Below are 15859 nucleotides of genomic sequence, written 5' to 3'. Positions count from 1 at the left end.
TGTGTTGTGGCCTGGCATTCAATTTGTGAGGTGGAAACCTGCGTGCATGACCCCTCTTTTTGTTCAAAGCTTTCCTTTCACTTAATAAATTCTGGCCTCCTCACCTTTCAACATGTCTGCATGCCTAATTTTTCCTGGTTGTGAGACGAGAACCTGGATTTAGCTGAACTAAGGAGCAAAAACATCCTGCATCAACATTTCAAAATATAATTAAGAATTGGGGTTCTCTCCACCCGCCCCCGACACCTCGGGGCTCCCCCCGCCTGCCAATGGCAGGCCTGGCTTCCCGATCCCCCTCACTTCCCATGCTCTCCCGCGGGGCCCCAGCCCCGGCCCTTTCTCTCCCTCCCTTCCTTTTAATTCCTCTTCCGGACGCTGCTATCATGTTGAAGCCTCAGCCGCCACAACAGCTGTCCAAGCCCCAGTAGCCGCCCCCTACGCAACAGGCCATGCCTCCTACGCAGCTCCACCGCGACCTCCCGCAGCCTCCTCCGCCTGCCTGGGGCCTTCGGCTGCGGGGAGCGGGCTCCGCTGGGGAGCCGAAAGCATCTTGACCACGCAGCCGCCACCGCAGCAGCAGCACCACGAGAGGCCGGGGGCCGCTGCCATCGGCAGCGCCAGGGGACAGAGCACAGGAAAGGGACCTCCGCAGTCACCTGTGTTTGAAGGCGTCTACAACAATTCCAGAATGCTGCACTTCCTTACAGCTGTTGTGGGCTCCACTTGTGATGTAAAGGTGAAAAATGGCACCACCTATGAAGGTATCTTCAAGACGCTGAGCTCACATTTTGAACTAGCAGAGGATATTGTACACCAGAAAGCATCTGAGCCAGCAGCTGGCCCTCGTCGGGAGGACACTGTAGACACCATGGTGTTTAAGCCAAGTGATGTCATGCTTGTTCACTTCCGAAATGCTGACTTCAACTACGCTACTAAAGACAAGTTCACCGATTCAGCCATCGCCATGAACTCGAAGGGAATGGGGAACACAAAGAGAAGGTGCTTCAGCGCTGGGAGCGGGGTGACAGCAACAGCGACAACTACGACCTCGAGTCCAACATGTCCAATGGATGGGACCCCAATGAAATGTTCAAGTTCAATGAAGAGAACTACGGTGTGAAGACCACCTATGACAGCAGTCTTTCTCCTTATACGGTGCCCTTAGAAAAGGACAACTCGAAAGAGTTTCAGCTGTGAGAGCTGCGTGCAGCCCAGTTGGCTCCAGAGATTGAATCAAGCCCCCAGTACCACCTGCGGATCGCCATGGAGAGCGACGATGGGCGCACTGAAGAGGAGAAGCACAGGGCGGTCCAGCGGCAGGGCTCGGGGCGGGAGAGCCCCAGCTTGGCATCCAGGAAGGGGAAGTATATCATCCCTCTGCCTCAACGAGTCCAGGAAGGTCCCCGGGGAGGAGTTTGACGCAGCAGCCCTCTGGGCAGTCAGCCTGGCCTTAGCAATTTGTCACCTCGTGGCCCTCGCCATCTGGACAATAGCAATCCTGGCCCAGGTTCTGAGGCCCGTGGTATCAATGGAGGCCCTTCCCACATGTCCCCAAAGGCACAGAGGCCTCTGAGAGGTGCCAAGACTCTGTCTTCGCCCACTAATAGGCCTTCCGGAGAAACTTCTGTTCCTCCTCCTGCAGTGGGCCGGATGTATCCCCCGAGTTCTCCCAGGTCTGCTGCCCCTGCCCCAATCTCACCTTCCTGTCCTGAGCTTCCCATCGGCTTAGCAGTGCCAACCTCTTCAGCCTCCATCCCTGTGACCTCATCAGTCTCAGATCCTGGAATGGGCTACATTTCCTCAGCTTCTCCAAAGATCTCCCTGGCCCCCACAGATGTAAAAGAACTCTCTACCACGGAACCTGGGAGAACCCTGGATCCCCAGTAGCTGGCTCAGATAGCTGAGAAAGTCCCTGGTCTTCAGAATGAACAGAAACTATTCCATCTGGAAGAACTGAGAAAGTGTGGGGCCCAGTTTAATCTTCAGCCCAGTAGTTCCCCTGAGAACAGCCTGGATCCTTTTCCTCCCTGGACCTTAAAGGAGGAGGCCAAAGGAAAGGAGAAGGAGGATGATGGTCTGTTGACTTCAGAGCCCATGGGGTCCCCCGTCTCCTCCAAGACAGAGTCTGTATCGGATAAGGAGGACAAACCACCCCTGGCACCAGCAGGAGGCACTGAGGGGCCAGAGCCGCCCCCACCACCTTGCCCAAGCCAAACCGGCAGCCTCCCCTTTGGCCTCATCAAAGGAGAGGACAAGGATGAGGGCCCTATTGCTGAACAAGAAATCAACGTTGAACCCCAATACCAAGGAGTTCAATCCCACAAAGCCTCTGCTGTCTGTGAATAAATCCACCAGTATCCCAACTTCTCCAGGGCCTCAGACTCATTCAACTCCCTCTATCCCAGTGCTGACGGCAGGCCAGAGTGGGCTATACAGCACCCAGTACATCTCCTACACACCTCAGATCCAGATGGGACCAGCTGTGCAGGCACCTCAGATGTATCCATACCCTGTATCCAATTCAGTGTCTGGGCAGCAGGGCAAGTACTGGGGAGCAAAAGGCTCCCTGCTACCACAGCTCTGGGACCAACACCAGCCAGCCTCAGCCCCGCCACGGTGGCTGCTGGCTCACCTCTGGTGGCTGCCACGCCCTATTCTTCCTACATCCCCTACAACCCTCAGCAGCTCCCAGGCCCACCTGCCATGATGCAGCCCATGGCCCACTATCCCTCATAGCCGGTGTTTGCTCCCATGCTTCAAAGCAACCCACGCATGCTGATGTTGGGCAGCCATCCCCAGGTCATCGTGTCATCCTCCACCCCTCAGTACCCTTCTGTGGAGCAGCCCACCCCCCAAGCCCTTTATGTCACTGCTCACCAGGCTTACCCAAACTATGCCACACAGCTTCATGCCCACCAGCTGCAGCCGGCTATCACACCTACTGGGAACCAGCCTGCAGCCCCCAGTCCTGTCCAGCATCAGGCGGGGGTGGCTCCACACCTGGGCAGTGGACAGCCACAGCAGAATCTGTACCACCCAGGGGCCCTGACAGGCATGCTGCCCTCTCTGCCACCGGGACCTTCTGCCCAGTCCCCTCAGAGCGGTTTCCCCCAGCCAGCCACTGTGTATGCCATCCACCACAAGCAGCTGCCCCACGGCTTCACCAACATGGCCCATGTTCCCCAGGCCCATGTCCAAACTGGAATCACAGCAGCCCCACTCGCCCCAGGTGATGCTGCTGCACCCACCCCAGAGTCATGGGCACCCCCCCGCAAAGTGCAGTGCCCCAGAGTGGGGTGCCTGCATTCTCAGCTTCCACACCCTTACCCTACCCCTACATTGGACACCCCCAAGCTCTCAGTGACCCCGACTGTCTCCTGACTTACTGGTGGAGTTCAATCTTATCCCTCCCAGCAGCTCCCCTTCCACTCCACCGGGGAACTGAAGATTTTCCTGGCCGCGATCTGAGACCTCCATGAGTGGAGAGAAGAATGGTCTATGTCTCTTCCCCCAGCAGCTCAGACTACTCCCAGCTCCCCATCCCCCCTTTCCCCAGGGGAGCTGGGGAATTCCTGCCAAGCACCTTGAATAGGAGGGGCCTACAGAGGGCAGCGCCAGGGTCCAGCGGGGTTGAGGGGTTCCTGCTCTGCCCCTGCCTGTCCCCACCCAGTACTGCCCTCCCATCCTCTCATCTATTTCCCTGCTGGACACAGAAGATCTTTTATTTTCTATTATTTATAACCTGAGACTTAGGCCCCCTGTTCTTTATTTCCCATTAACTTGAGTGACCTGTGTGAGAGACAGACAGATGCCCCATGAGGATGGCTGGACAAGAACTTTTACTTTTTATTACATAAAAATATTAAAAGTAAATAAATATATAAAATTTTAAATAATTGTGAAAGTCAGCCAACTCTTATGGCCTAGTTCATCCCAATAGCTTATAACCTATTCCCATAATATACTTTTTCATATGTACAGTTATCTTTTTAGTTTTTTGTCCACGATTTTAAATTGTGAGCATTACTTTTTGTAATTTGCTAACTTATACCTCCATTTCCAATACAGGAATTATGTCAAGACTTAGAGTTATAATTTGTTTTATACATTTTTCAAAAATCTGACTTCACAAAAGTATATTTTTGCAACACTGATTTTGTGTGTAAGCTTTGTGTGTGTGTGCATGAAAACATTGAAACTTCCTCAATAAATGAAGAGATGTCCTTTTTGGATGTCTGCATTTGTGATATACATTTTGCTTTTTGACCTATTTCTTTATGAATATGGTTTGTTTGCTCATAACTGTTATTTACACCTGTGCAACTGTCGTTAGTATACCTGAGTGCTTATGCTTGCAAAAATGTGTATGTCATTATTGCCTATTTTATTGTATAAAGTGGCCTACAAAATGTTCTGTAGATATAATGTTTCTCAAACAAATCCGTTTTAAAAAATGTAAACAAATGTCTTTTAATTTTTTTTTAAATTATTTTTTCCAGAATTACATTTTTGGGACTATGTCTTTTGTCTTTTGGATTATCGCCCAAGCCCGAGCAAGGGAATGCCTCAATTCTTTCTATCACCTAATCTTGGAAGCCACACACAACTACTTTTGTCATGATACCAGCCACTCACCTACATGAATGGTCAAATGTTTGCTTTTTCTTTATTCTAGCTGCAACCTTTTTCCAGGGAACATATCTGAATTTTTAGACTCTGGCCGTGCACAGAATGATAAGTGCCCACAGGTGAATGGAGGCTGTAGATTCTCAATGTCAATTCACTATTCCTTCTAGGCCTTCGTCTCCTGCCTAGTTTGATTCCAGTCCACTTCTACAGTGTGTCTGTGTTTCCCAAGCACCATCAGCTAGAGGGAGATGTCACTCTGCCCTTTGTAAGCCTTTTATCTAGCTCCTTAGGGAAAATCAGTAATGAATTTGAGTTACCTCCAATGTCCACTTTTGTCACTCAGTACTAGGCAACTGCTAAAAGCATTTGGATTTTTTTTTTTCCCTGAGGAGCAAGTTTCTGGCTACACCAAACCCAGACTGTTAGCCAGAACTGGCAAATATCTCCAGAGATGAGAGTCAAAAATAGTACACCAGATAAGTTAATTGTGTTATAGTCTTACAATGAAATATTATATAGCAGTAAGAATGATAGAATCATTGCTTCTAGCAACAACATGGATGTATCTTACAACGTCAAGTGAAAAAAGCCAGACACAAAATATTCATGTTCTATGATTCCATTTATATGCCTTTTGAAATCAGACATGGTAATTTATTGTCTAGAAATCAGGACAATGATTACTTTGGAAGGGTGAGTAGTGACTGGTACAGGAAGGAGGGAGTTTCAGAGTCCTGATAATGTTCTATTTCTTGATCTAGCATGCCAGTTACATAAACATGTTCAATTTTTGAAAATTCATTGAGCTGAACACTTATGAATTTTATACATTTCTGTACACAATTTTACTTAAACAACTTTACATTTAAAAACCTAAAATGTAGGAATTATTTTTCATTATTGGTGTTTCTGTTTACATTTAGATGTCTCAAATAATATCATTGTAAGTATGTAATATGCTAAGTCACAGGGAAGTTTAATATACAACTGAAAACCACTAAGATATCTAGAAATACCAGGGCTTATCTCAGTGTAACTGTGAGCATTTGAGCTGTTTCTGTGCCTTCCTCTTCAAGGTACCTTTCCTCTCGTGTTGGAACTGTGTCCCAGTTCATAGAGGTCAAAGTCATCACTGATCTCTTCATGGACCTCACAAAAACAGCATCTTCTGGGTCATCAAGCACAGTTCTGCAAAAAAAAAGCAATTATGTCAGAAAAAAAGCAATCAAAAATGAAAATTTGACCAAAATGAAATTTTTATTCAAATGAATCAATGCCATGTTTTTCTGTGTTATTTGTAGTATAGTACCACTAACAAATAATTTGCGGGCTCCACTGACAAATGACTTTCAGGCTAAGTGACACTATTTTTATTGTATATATTGTTTATTTTATAAATAAAGTATCTGAACATATTTGGGGATCAACTATTACAGTTTAGATCTCACATACTCATGCAGTCATGTTTTAAAACCAGTTAAATGAGATGGTTAAAATATTTATAGATCTATGCATATTATTATTGTAAGTTCATTGTATTGCTAAGTTTTTTTCTACATTATGCCATATTTTATAAATGTACATGGAGATAATATTCAATACTGTATCCAAAGAAAAACATCTTAAGTGAAAAAATAAAAAAAGAATGATGACTCTAAATTCATCAGTATTCATGAATTTGAAAAGTCTTCCATAGTATTAGTGAGGTGCTTGCTTTTGGAAATGTAAATTCCAATGAATATAAAATGTTAATCTACATGATAACTGCTATGACTGAACATATTTAGAGAATAGCTAAACAAGGAATATAAAACCCCACTTTCAGAATAGCTAATAGTTAAGGTTTATTTTTTATTTTTTTATTTTTTGAAACAGAGTCTCACTCTGTCACCCAGGCTGGAGTTCAGTGGCATGATTTAGGCTCACTGCAACTTCTGCCTCCTGGGTTCAAGTGATTTTCCTGCCTCAGTCTCCTGAGTAGCTGGGATTATAGGCGCCTGCCACCATGCCAGGCCAATATTTTGTATTTTTAGTAGAGGCAGGTTTTCACCATGTTTGCCAGGCTGGTCTCGAACTCCTGACCTGAGGTGATCCACCCACCATGGCCTCCCAAAGTACAGGGATTACAGGCATGAGCCACTGCGCCTGGCGAGGTTTATTTTTTTAAGCATCAAATTATCTTTTTGCTTATTTAGGACTTTGATAGTAATATTAAAAGCCCAAATATGTCAAATATTAATACAGAGCTTGAACTCATTTATCACAGAAAGACCTAGCAATTTTTCTCATCTATTGAAGAGTGAGTCATTTTTTAATTCATTAAAATCTATTTTAGGAAATGGAGATGAAGTAAAGGGACAACACAATTATGAAATAATCTGATAATAAATGTATAGATAAAATTACTTACTTGTCTACATTATTTGCAAATGCAAAATCTAAAAAAAAAATACATTTTAAAGTTAGTATTTTAAAATATTTATCCAGCATTTAAAAACAGTGGAACAATGCTATAAAGGAAAAGTATAAAGCAGGGCTTTCTGTTTTCAAGTTATTCTTTACGCAAATAGTTCAATCTGTCAAAAATGCCTTTTTATCTAACTCCAAAGCAAAACTTTCTCTTAGATATAGTGGGTTTTGCCTTAGGTTTTGGGGCAAATTTTTTTAATACAATACAAATCTCAAAACCCTGAGAACAGAAAGCTTAGTCAATTTATAATGTACCAATGGAATCCAAGTGGGAATTTTTATAATTAAGATATTGAGGCTGATATGCAGAAACCTATCCCTTTTCTTCCGAAAGGCACATGCATCTATAAATGGACTAACAGTCCAAATGAGGGGAAATATTTAGGAACATTTCAACCATTTGGATTCTTAGCATTAACTTTAAAGAAACGGAATAAACAAATACTAGATCACAAGAATCTAGATCTTCCTAGCTTTGAAGCTCCAAGACTAGTCCTCAAAACCTGGATTTCTTACGGTGTCTTCCAGAGACTGTCACTGCTTTGTTGATTTCCCTCCGGAAAGCCTAGGGCCCGTACAGAGATGGATTTTACTAGCACCTGTTGTGCCAGAGAAGCCCACAGTATCACCTCTTGCCATTCCACAAGCAGCAGCGACCACAAAGCCTCTCTGCCTTTGAATTCATAGCATTATTCCCTTCACAAGTGGCTAACGAAAGTCTCTCATGCGTTTCTGATCATCCTAGGCTCTTTCTTTTTCTACATTTTTCTCCCAGCTTTAGTGGTATAATTGACAAATAAAAACTGTATATATTTAAGGTGTACGACTTGATGTTTTAATATACGTATTCATTGTGAAATAATCATCACACTCAATCTAATTAACATATTCATCAGCCAGACAGTTGCCATTTTTTGTGTATACGTGGTGAGAACACTTAAGATCTACTCTCTTAGTAAACTTCAAGTATACAATACGGCTAACTATAGTCACATCATATAAGATCTTTAGAATTTATTCATTTGTGTAATATAATTTAAACTTTGTACCTTTTGACTAACATCTCCCCATTTCCCCTTCCCCACAGCACCTGGCAATCACCATTCTACTCTCTGCTTCTATGAGTTTGACTATTTTAGATTCCATATATAAGTGGGATCATGCAGTATTTGTTCTTCTGTGTCTGTCTTATTTCATTTAGTATAACGCTCTCCAGTGTCATCCATATTGTCAAAAAATGACAGGATTTCCCTGTTCTCGTCTTCATTTTTAATTACAAAAAGCGCATACTTTACTTACAATGAATATAAACAATAAAGAAAATAGTGAGTAAAAAGGGAAATTTCCACTTCCTCTTATTACTATTAAGTATCACTATTAAAAGTTTTGTATGTATGTTTCCAGCCTATATGTCACACGTGTACTCACACACATACATGTATATATACATAGAGATTTGTTTGTTGACAAAATTCTAATTTTGTTATTACTCATAGTATACTATTTTTTCAATGTGTGTGGTTTTGTTTTTTGTTTTCGTTTTGTTTTTGTTTGAGATGGAGTCTCACTCTGTTGCCCAGGCTGGAGTGCAGTGGCACGATCTCGGCTCACTGCAACCTCTGCCTCACTGCAACCTCTGCCTCCTGGGTTCAAGCGATTCTCCTGCCTTAGCCTCCTGAGTAGCTGGGATTACAGGCGCCTGCTACCACGCCTGGCTAATTTTTGTATTTTTAATAGAGACGGGGTTTCACCATGTTAGCCAGGCTGGTCTCAAACTTCTGACATCAGGTGATCTGCCCGCCTTGCCAAGGTGTTTTTAATACCTCCAAATATATTATGGATTAATTCTATAATGGAATAGTTTGTATTATACAAATGTGCCATAGTCTATTTAACATTCTCCTATGAATGACCATTTAAATTGTTTCTACTACTTTTGCTATTATAAAAAATGTTGCAACATGCAGCCTTATACCTATATATTTTTTCTTTGTCCATATGTGCAAGCACTTCTGTAGGGGAGAGATCAAATTTAGTTGCTGTGTCAAATGGTTTGCACATTTTATATGTTGGTGGATACTGCCATATGGTCATCCAAGAGAGTTGAACGAGTTTACATTCCCATCAATAACATGAATTGTGCTCGTTCCCCCCTCATCTTTAACAACCCTTTAAAACTTCTGCCTACTTGTTGGATGAAAATGGTATCTCATTGTTTTTATTTCCATTTATTTGATCGTTAGTGAAGCTGATCATTATTTACATTTCTTTCTTTGTATATATGTCTTGTCCATGTCGTTTATTTTGTTTTCTACTGGGATTTTTAAATTGACTTGGAGATGTCCTTTAGAAATTATGAGTGTTAACTTCTGCCTATTATATATGTTATAAAGACTTCCTCCAATTTTGCATTTTAATTTTCTTCCTATATGATGCTTTTTATTTTTAATTATTATGATACATACTAGTTGTACATATTTATGGGATACATATAATTGTTTTTCATTTTCATGTAGTTAAATCTGTCAACATTTCTCTTTGATGCCCTCTGAGTTTTGTGTGAGGCTTTGATTGGCCTTCACTTTGGGATTATGAAAGTATTTTCTTCCAGAACTTCCTGATTTCATTTACATTTAGATATTCAATCTCTCTGGAATCTATTTTTGTATATGGTATCTCCCTTAGAAAGTAATTCTAGTTTATCTCTTTGGCCCAGGGCTACTTTATGGCACAATTCTTGGGGGGCCTCAGTAAATGTTTTCTGTGCAAAGAGTGTCCACTGGAGTTATGCAACATGGAAGCTCTGTTGACTGCTGATTTTTCCCTTCACAAATTCTTGTACACAACTCCCTCAGTTGCTCAGCCCTATGCCAAACAATCTCTAGATCTCACATTGACCTCTAATACCTACCTGAACCTTCATGCATAGGTAGCAGTTGGCATTTACTCTTCTGGGTGTGCCTGATATGTCATAGCTACCCAAAGTCAGAAATGTCTTCAAGACTTGATTTCCTGAGCCGTTGATCTCCCAGCTCATACCTTTCAATTATCTGTTTTCTCTGGATTGTGTCCTGCCTTGTCTGTACTGGTGCACTCTTTGGTGAATTGCTGTTTGTTAAATAGTCTGCCTGGTCTTCCTTTTTGGCCTTACCCTTCTGTCTTCCCTAGTAGTACATGCCTCACCTGCCAGGCCCAGGCTCTGTGACACTATACCCCAGCTTGGGCTCAGCACCTGGAGCTCTGTCTTGAGCAAACATGGTGGAAATCTGGCAGCTTCACTTTTGGACCACTAATGGACATTTTAAAAGCTTGTTGGTATTTTATTTTAAATACCCCTTAATGTCTTTCTACATTTACATATAGGTAATTGGTGAAAAATCTGCAAATCAGGTTCTTAAAGCCAGGTAGAAGCCCAAAGTGTTTTGGTTCTGAGAATATTGGCTATCATGCAATAAAACCCAGAGACAGTAATGAAAATTGGTACAACCCTTTTAACCATACTTATTTGATAAGGACTGATAGATGGGACTTGAAGAAAACTTAAAATTGATCTTGCTTCTCAAGATATTAGAAATATAATTGGTTTCTTAACTTCAGATGAAGGATAATAAAATCAAAATGTGGCTTTACAATTGCCTCATAAACATTTTTAAGTGTAGTTTCTTTCCAATAAAATAATTCATATTTCTCTTAGAATTACTCTTATAATTTTTTAGAATGTCACCATAAGGTAAGATTTATAAAAAAACAAATATAGAAGCTGCAAAACTATATGGATAAATTTTAAAAATTTACATAGCGCGTTTTATTAGTTTTATTACAAATGTTTGCTTAATTAAGATATGCTAAAATAAGCCATACTCTGGGCTAAAAATACTTTTTAGTTGCTATGATATAGCGGCCTTTTGTGGAAAATGAGTAGATTTATAATAATTGTCCTATCGATTATTAGAGGCTTTAGTCAACATATCTTTTAATTAAGAAGAAAAAGTTTCAAATGCAATAAAATACTCTCCCTATCTTTTCTGCTCCTGATTTTGTTTTTGGAGGTTCAATATGAAAAGGAGTAAAGAGAATTTAAAAAGGATTATAGTTCTTCCAGCAATCTGGTTAAACAAAAGAAATGTAGATCCCTAAAGGTAGGGATCACACCAATAATAATTATAGCACTGAAAAATAGATTGTGGGGGCTGACCTTGCATTGTTTGTTATTGTGTGCATTCGCTGTTTTTAAGAGGGGAGATTTTCTATCTAAAGACTCCTTTCCTACCACAGCATGGTCTACTCCAATAACATTCCATTTGGGCCATCACCTCTCACATGAAGTAAAAGGAAGGACTTTTACATAAACCAAGGAAGTGGCTGATTAACACAATAGTTCAACTTATTGTACACTTGGTATGTGTCAGATCAAGTATCTCAATGTTTTACATATCAAGCATAACAGTCAAAGCAAGATATTATACTCATTTTAAAAATCAGAAATCTAAAGCAAATGTCCAAAATAAAACTTATAATTATTAGCAGATCTGGTATTCAAACCCAAGGGAGTCTAATCCCACACTGGTACTACCACCTCTCTATTGGTTGATCTCTGACTTGAGTGTACATCAGAATCATCTGAAGGGCTTTATAAAACACAGCTTCTCAGGTCCCACACTTGTTTCTAGTTTAGTAAATCTGGTTTGGGGCAAGAATTGGTAACAAGTTTCTAAGTGATATTGATGCTGCTGGATTGGGGACCATACCCTTGTTGATGAAAAGGGTCAAACTCTGTAAAATATTTGAAGGGATTTATTCTGAGCCAAATATGAGTGACCGATGGCCTATCACACAGCCCTCAGGAGATCCTGAGAACATGTGCCCAAGGTGGTTGGGTCACAGCCTGCTCCCTCCCTCCCTCCCTCCCTCCTTTTCTTTCTTTTTCTGAGACAGAGTCTTACTCTGTCACGCAGGCTAAAGTGCAGTGATGCGATCTCACCTCACTGCAACCTCCAACTCCCGGGTCCAACCGATTGTCCTGCCTCAGCCTCCCAAGTAGCTGGAATTACAGGTGCCCGCCATCATGCCTGGCTAAGTTTGTGTTTTTAGTAGAGACGGGGTTTAACCATATTGGCCAGGCTGGTCTGAAACTCCTGACCTCAAATTATCCGCCTGCCTTGGACTCCCAAAGTGCTGGGATTACAAGCGTGAGCCACCATGCCTGGTGAGTTAGACAAGTATAAAATATATATATATATATTTTATTATACTTTAAGTTTTAGGATATATGTGCAGGACGTGCAGGCTTGTTACATAGGTACACATGTGCCATGATGGTTTGCTGCACCCGTCAACCCATCAGTTACTTTAGGTATTTCTCCTAATGCTATCCCTCCCCCAGCCCTCCAGCCCCCGACAGGCCCCAGTGTGTGATGTTCCTCTCCCTGCGTCCATGTGTTCTCATTGTTCAACTCCCACTTATGAGTGAGAACATGCAGTGTTTGGTTTTCTGTTCCTGTGTTAGTTTACTCAGAATGATGGTTTCCAGCTTCATCCACATCCCTGCAAAGGACATGAACTCATCCTTTTTATGGCTGCATAGTATTCCATGGTGTATATGTGCCACATTTTCTTTATCCAGTCTATCATTGATGGGCATTTGGGTTGGTTCCAAGTCTCTGCTATTGTAAATAGTGCTGCAATAAACATATGTGTGCATGTGTCTTTATAGTAGAATGATTTATAATCCTTTGGGTATATACCCAGTAATGGGATTGCTGGGTCAAATTGTATTTCTGGTTCTAGATCCTTGAGGAATCGCCACATTGTCTTCCACAATGGTTGAACTAATTTACACTGCCCCAAGAGTGTAAAAGCATTACTATTTCTCCACATCCTCTCCAGTATCTGTTGTTTCCTGACTTTTTAATGATTGCCATTCTAACTGGCATGAGTTGGTATCTCATTGTTGTTTTTATTTGCATTTCTCTAATAACCAGTGATGATGAGCTTTTTTTCGTATGTTTGTTGGCTGCATAAATGTTTTCTTTTGAGAAGTGCCTGTTCATATGCTTCACTCACTTTTTGATGAGGTTGTGTTTTTCTTGCAAATTTGTTTCAGTTCCTTGTAGATTCCGGATATTAGCCCTTCATCAGATGGATGGATTGAAAAAATTTTCTCCTATTCTGTAGGTTGCCTATTCACTCTGATGACAGTTTCTTTTGCTGTGCAGAAGCTCTTTAGTTTAATTAGATCCCATTTGTCAATATTGGCTTTGGTTTCCATTGCTTTTGGTGTTTTAGTCATGAAGTCTTTGCCCATGCCTATGTCCTGAATGGTATTGCCTAAGTTTTCTTTTAGGGTTTTATGGTTTTAGGTCTCACATTTAAGTCTCTAATCCATCTTGAGTTAATTTTTGTATAAAGTGTAAGGAAGAGGTCCAGTTTCAGTTTTCTGCATATGGCTAGCCAGTTTTCCCAACACCACTTATTAAATAGGGAATCCTTTCCCCATTGCTTGTGTTTGTCAGGTTTGTCAAAGATCAGATGGTTGTAGATGTGTGGCATTATTTCTGAGGCCTCTGTTCTGTTACATTGGTCTATATATCTGTTTTGGTACAAGTACCATGCTGTTTTGGTTACTGTAGGCATGTTGTATAGTTTGAAATCAGGCAGTGTGTTGCCTCCAGCTTTGTTCTTTTTGCTTAGAATTGTCTTGGCTATACAGGCTCTTTTTTGGTTCCATATGAAATTTAAAGTAGTTTTTTTCCAATTCTGTGAAGAAAGTCAATGGTAGCTTGATGAGGATAGCATTGAATCTGTAAATTACTTTGGGCAGTATGGCCATTTTCACGATAGTGATTCTTCCTATCCATGAACATGGAATGTTTTTCCATTTGTTTGTGTCTTCTCTTATTTCCTTGAGCAGTGGTTTATAGTTCTCCTTGAAGAGGTCCTTCACATCCCTTATAATTTGTATTCCTAGGTATTTTATTCTCTTTGTAGCAATTGTGAATGGGAGTCACTCATGATTTGGCTCTCTGTTTGTCTATTATTGGTGTATAGGAATGCTTGTGATTTTTGCACATTGGTTTTGTGTCCTGAGACTTTGCTGAAGTTGTTTATCAGCTTAAGGAGATTTTGGGCTGAGACAATGGGGTTTTCTAAATATGTAATCATGTCATCTGCAAGCAGAGACAGTTTGACTTCCTCTCTTCCTATTTGAATACATTTTATTTCTTTCTCTTGCCTGATTACCCTGGCCAGAACTTTCAATACTATGTTGAATAGGAGTGGTGAGAGAGGGCATCCTTGTCTTGTGCCAGTTTTCAAAGGGAATGCTTCCAGTTTTTGCCCATTCAGTATGATATTGGCTGTGGGTCTGTCATAAATAGCTCTTATTATTTTGATATATGTTCCTTCAATACCTAGTTTATTGAGGATTTTTAGCATGAAGGGGTGTTGAATTTTATTGAAGGCCTTTTTGCATCTATTGAGATAATCATGTGGTTTTTGTCATTGGTTCTGTTTATGCGATGGATTACATTTATTGATTTGCATATGTTGAACCAGCCTTGCATCCCAAGGATGAAGCTGGCTTGATCATGGTGGATAAGCTTTTTGATGTGCTGCTGGATTCAGTTTGCCAGTATTTTATTGAGGATTTTTGCACTGATGTTCGTCAGGGATATTGGCCTGGAATTTTTTGTTGTTGTGTCTCTGCCAGGTTTTGGTATCAGGATGATGCTGGCCTCATAAAATGAGTTAGGGTGGAGTTCCTCTTTTTCTATGGTTTAAAATAGTTCCAGAAGGAATGGTACTAGCTCCTCTTTGTACCTCTGGTAGAACTCAGCTGTGAATACATCTGGTCCTGGGCTTTTGTGGTTGGCAGGCTATTAATTACTGCCTCAATTTCAGAACTTGTTATTGGTCTGTTCAGGGATTTGAGTTCTTCCTGGTTTAGTCCTGAAGTCTGAACTTCCTGGCGGCTTTGTTAACACTGTGAGGGGAAAACCACCTACTCAAGCTTCTGTTTTGGCAGATGCCCCTCCCCCCACCAAGCTCGGGCGACCCAGGTCGACTTCAGACTGTTGTGCTGGCAAGGAGAATTTCAAGCCAGTGGATCTTAGCTTGCTGGGCTCTGTCGGGGTGGGATCCGCTGAGCTAGACCACTTGGCTCCTTGGCTTCAGACTCCTTTTTAGGGGACTGAACAGTTCTGTCTCTCTGGCATTCCAGGTGCCACTGGGGTATGAAAAAAGACCTCCTGCATCTAACTCGGTGTCTGCCCAAATGGCCGCCCAGTTTTGTGCTTGAAACCCAGGGCCCTGGTGGTGTAGGCACCCAAGGGAATGTCCTAGTCTGAGGGTTGTGAAGACCATGGGAAAAGTGTAGTATCTGGGCCGGATAGCTCCGTTCCCCAAGGCACAGTCCCTCATGGCTTCCCTTGGATAGGGGAGGAAGTTCTCCAACCCTTTGCACTTCCCGGGTGAGGCGACACCCCATTCTGCTTTGGCTGTCCCTCCGTGGGCTGCACCCATTGTCTAACCCATCTCAGTGAGGTAAGCCAGGTACCTCGGTTGGAAATGCAGAAATCACTCGCCTTCTGTGTGGATCTCGCTCAGAGTTGCAGACTGGAGCTGTTCCTATTCGGCCATCTTGCCGGCCACCACAACCGTAAATATTTATCAGACTTAATATCTGTGTTGATGTTAATGCTGGTTGGCTTTTCCTGAATTCCAAAAGGGAGGGGGGTATAAGGAGGCATGTCCGGAGCCCCCT

The 15859-nt window shown here is 42.1% G+C and overlaps 1 protein-coding gene and 1 pseudogene across 2 annotated transcripts in view; one reads left to right on the top strand and one right to left on the bottom strand.

Moving 5' to 3' along the window:
• Positions 225–3893, top strand: LOC317727 (ataxin 2 like pseudogene; annotated as a pseudogene).
• LRRC72 (leucine rich repeat containing 72) overlaps positions 5573–15859 on the bottom strand; it is a 54744-nt gene continuing 44457 nt past the window's right edge. For both annotated transcript variants that reach the window (XM_011515057.2, NM_001195280.2), the window contains 2 exons: positions 7040–7067; positions 5573–5817 (listed from right to left, as the gene is read on the bottom strand). In XM_011515057.2, coding sequence (XP_011513359.1) covers positions 5652–5817; positions 7040–7067 — 194 coding nt within the window. In that variant the 3' untranslated portion in view covers positions 5573–5651. The remainder of the gene's footprint in view (positions 5818–7039; positions 7068–15859) is intronic.

Source organism: Homo sapiens, chromosome 7, assembly GCF_000001405.40.
Source record: "Homo sapiens chromosome 7, GRCh38.p14 Primary Assembly".
Taxonomy (NCBI): Eukaryota; Metazoa; Chordata; class Mammalia; order Primates; family Hominidae; genus Homo; species Homo sapiens.
Note: the sequence above shows the minus strand (reverse complement) of the source record. Positions and strands in the feature narration are given on the sequence as shown.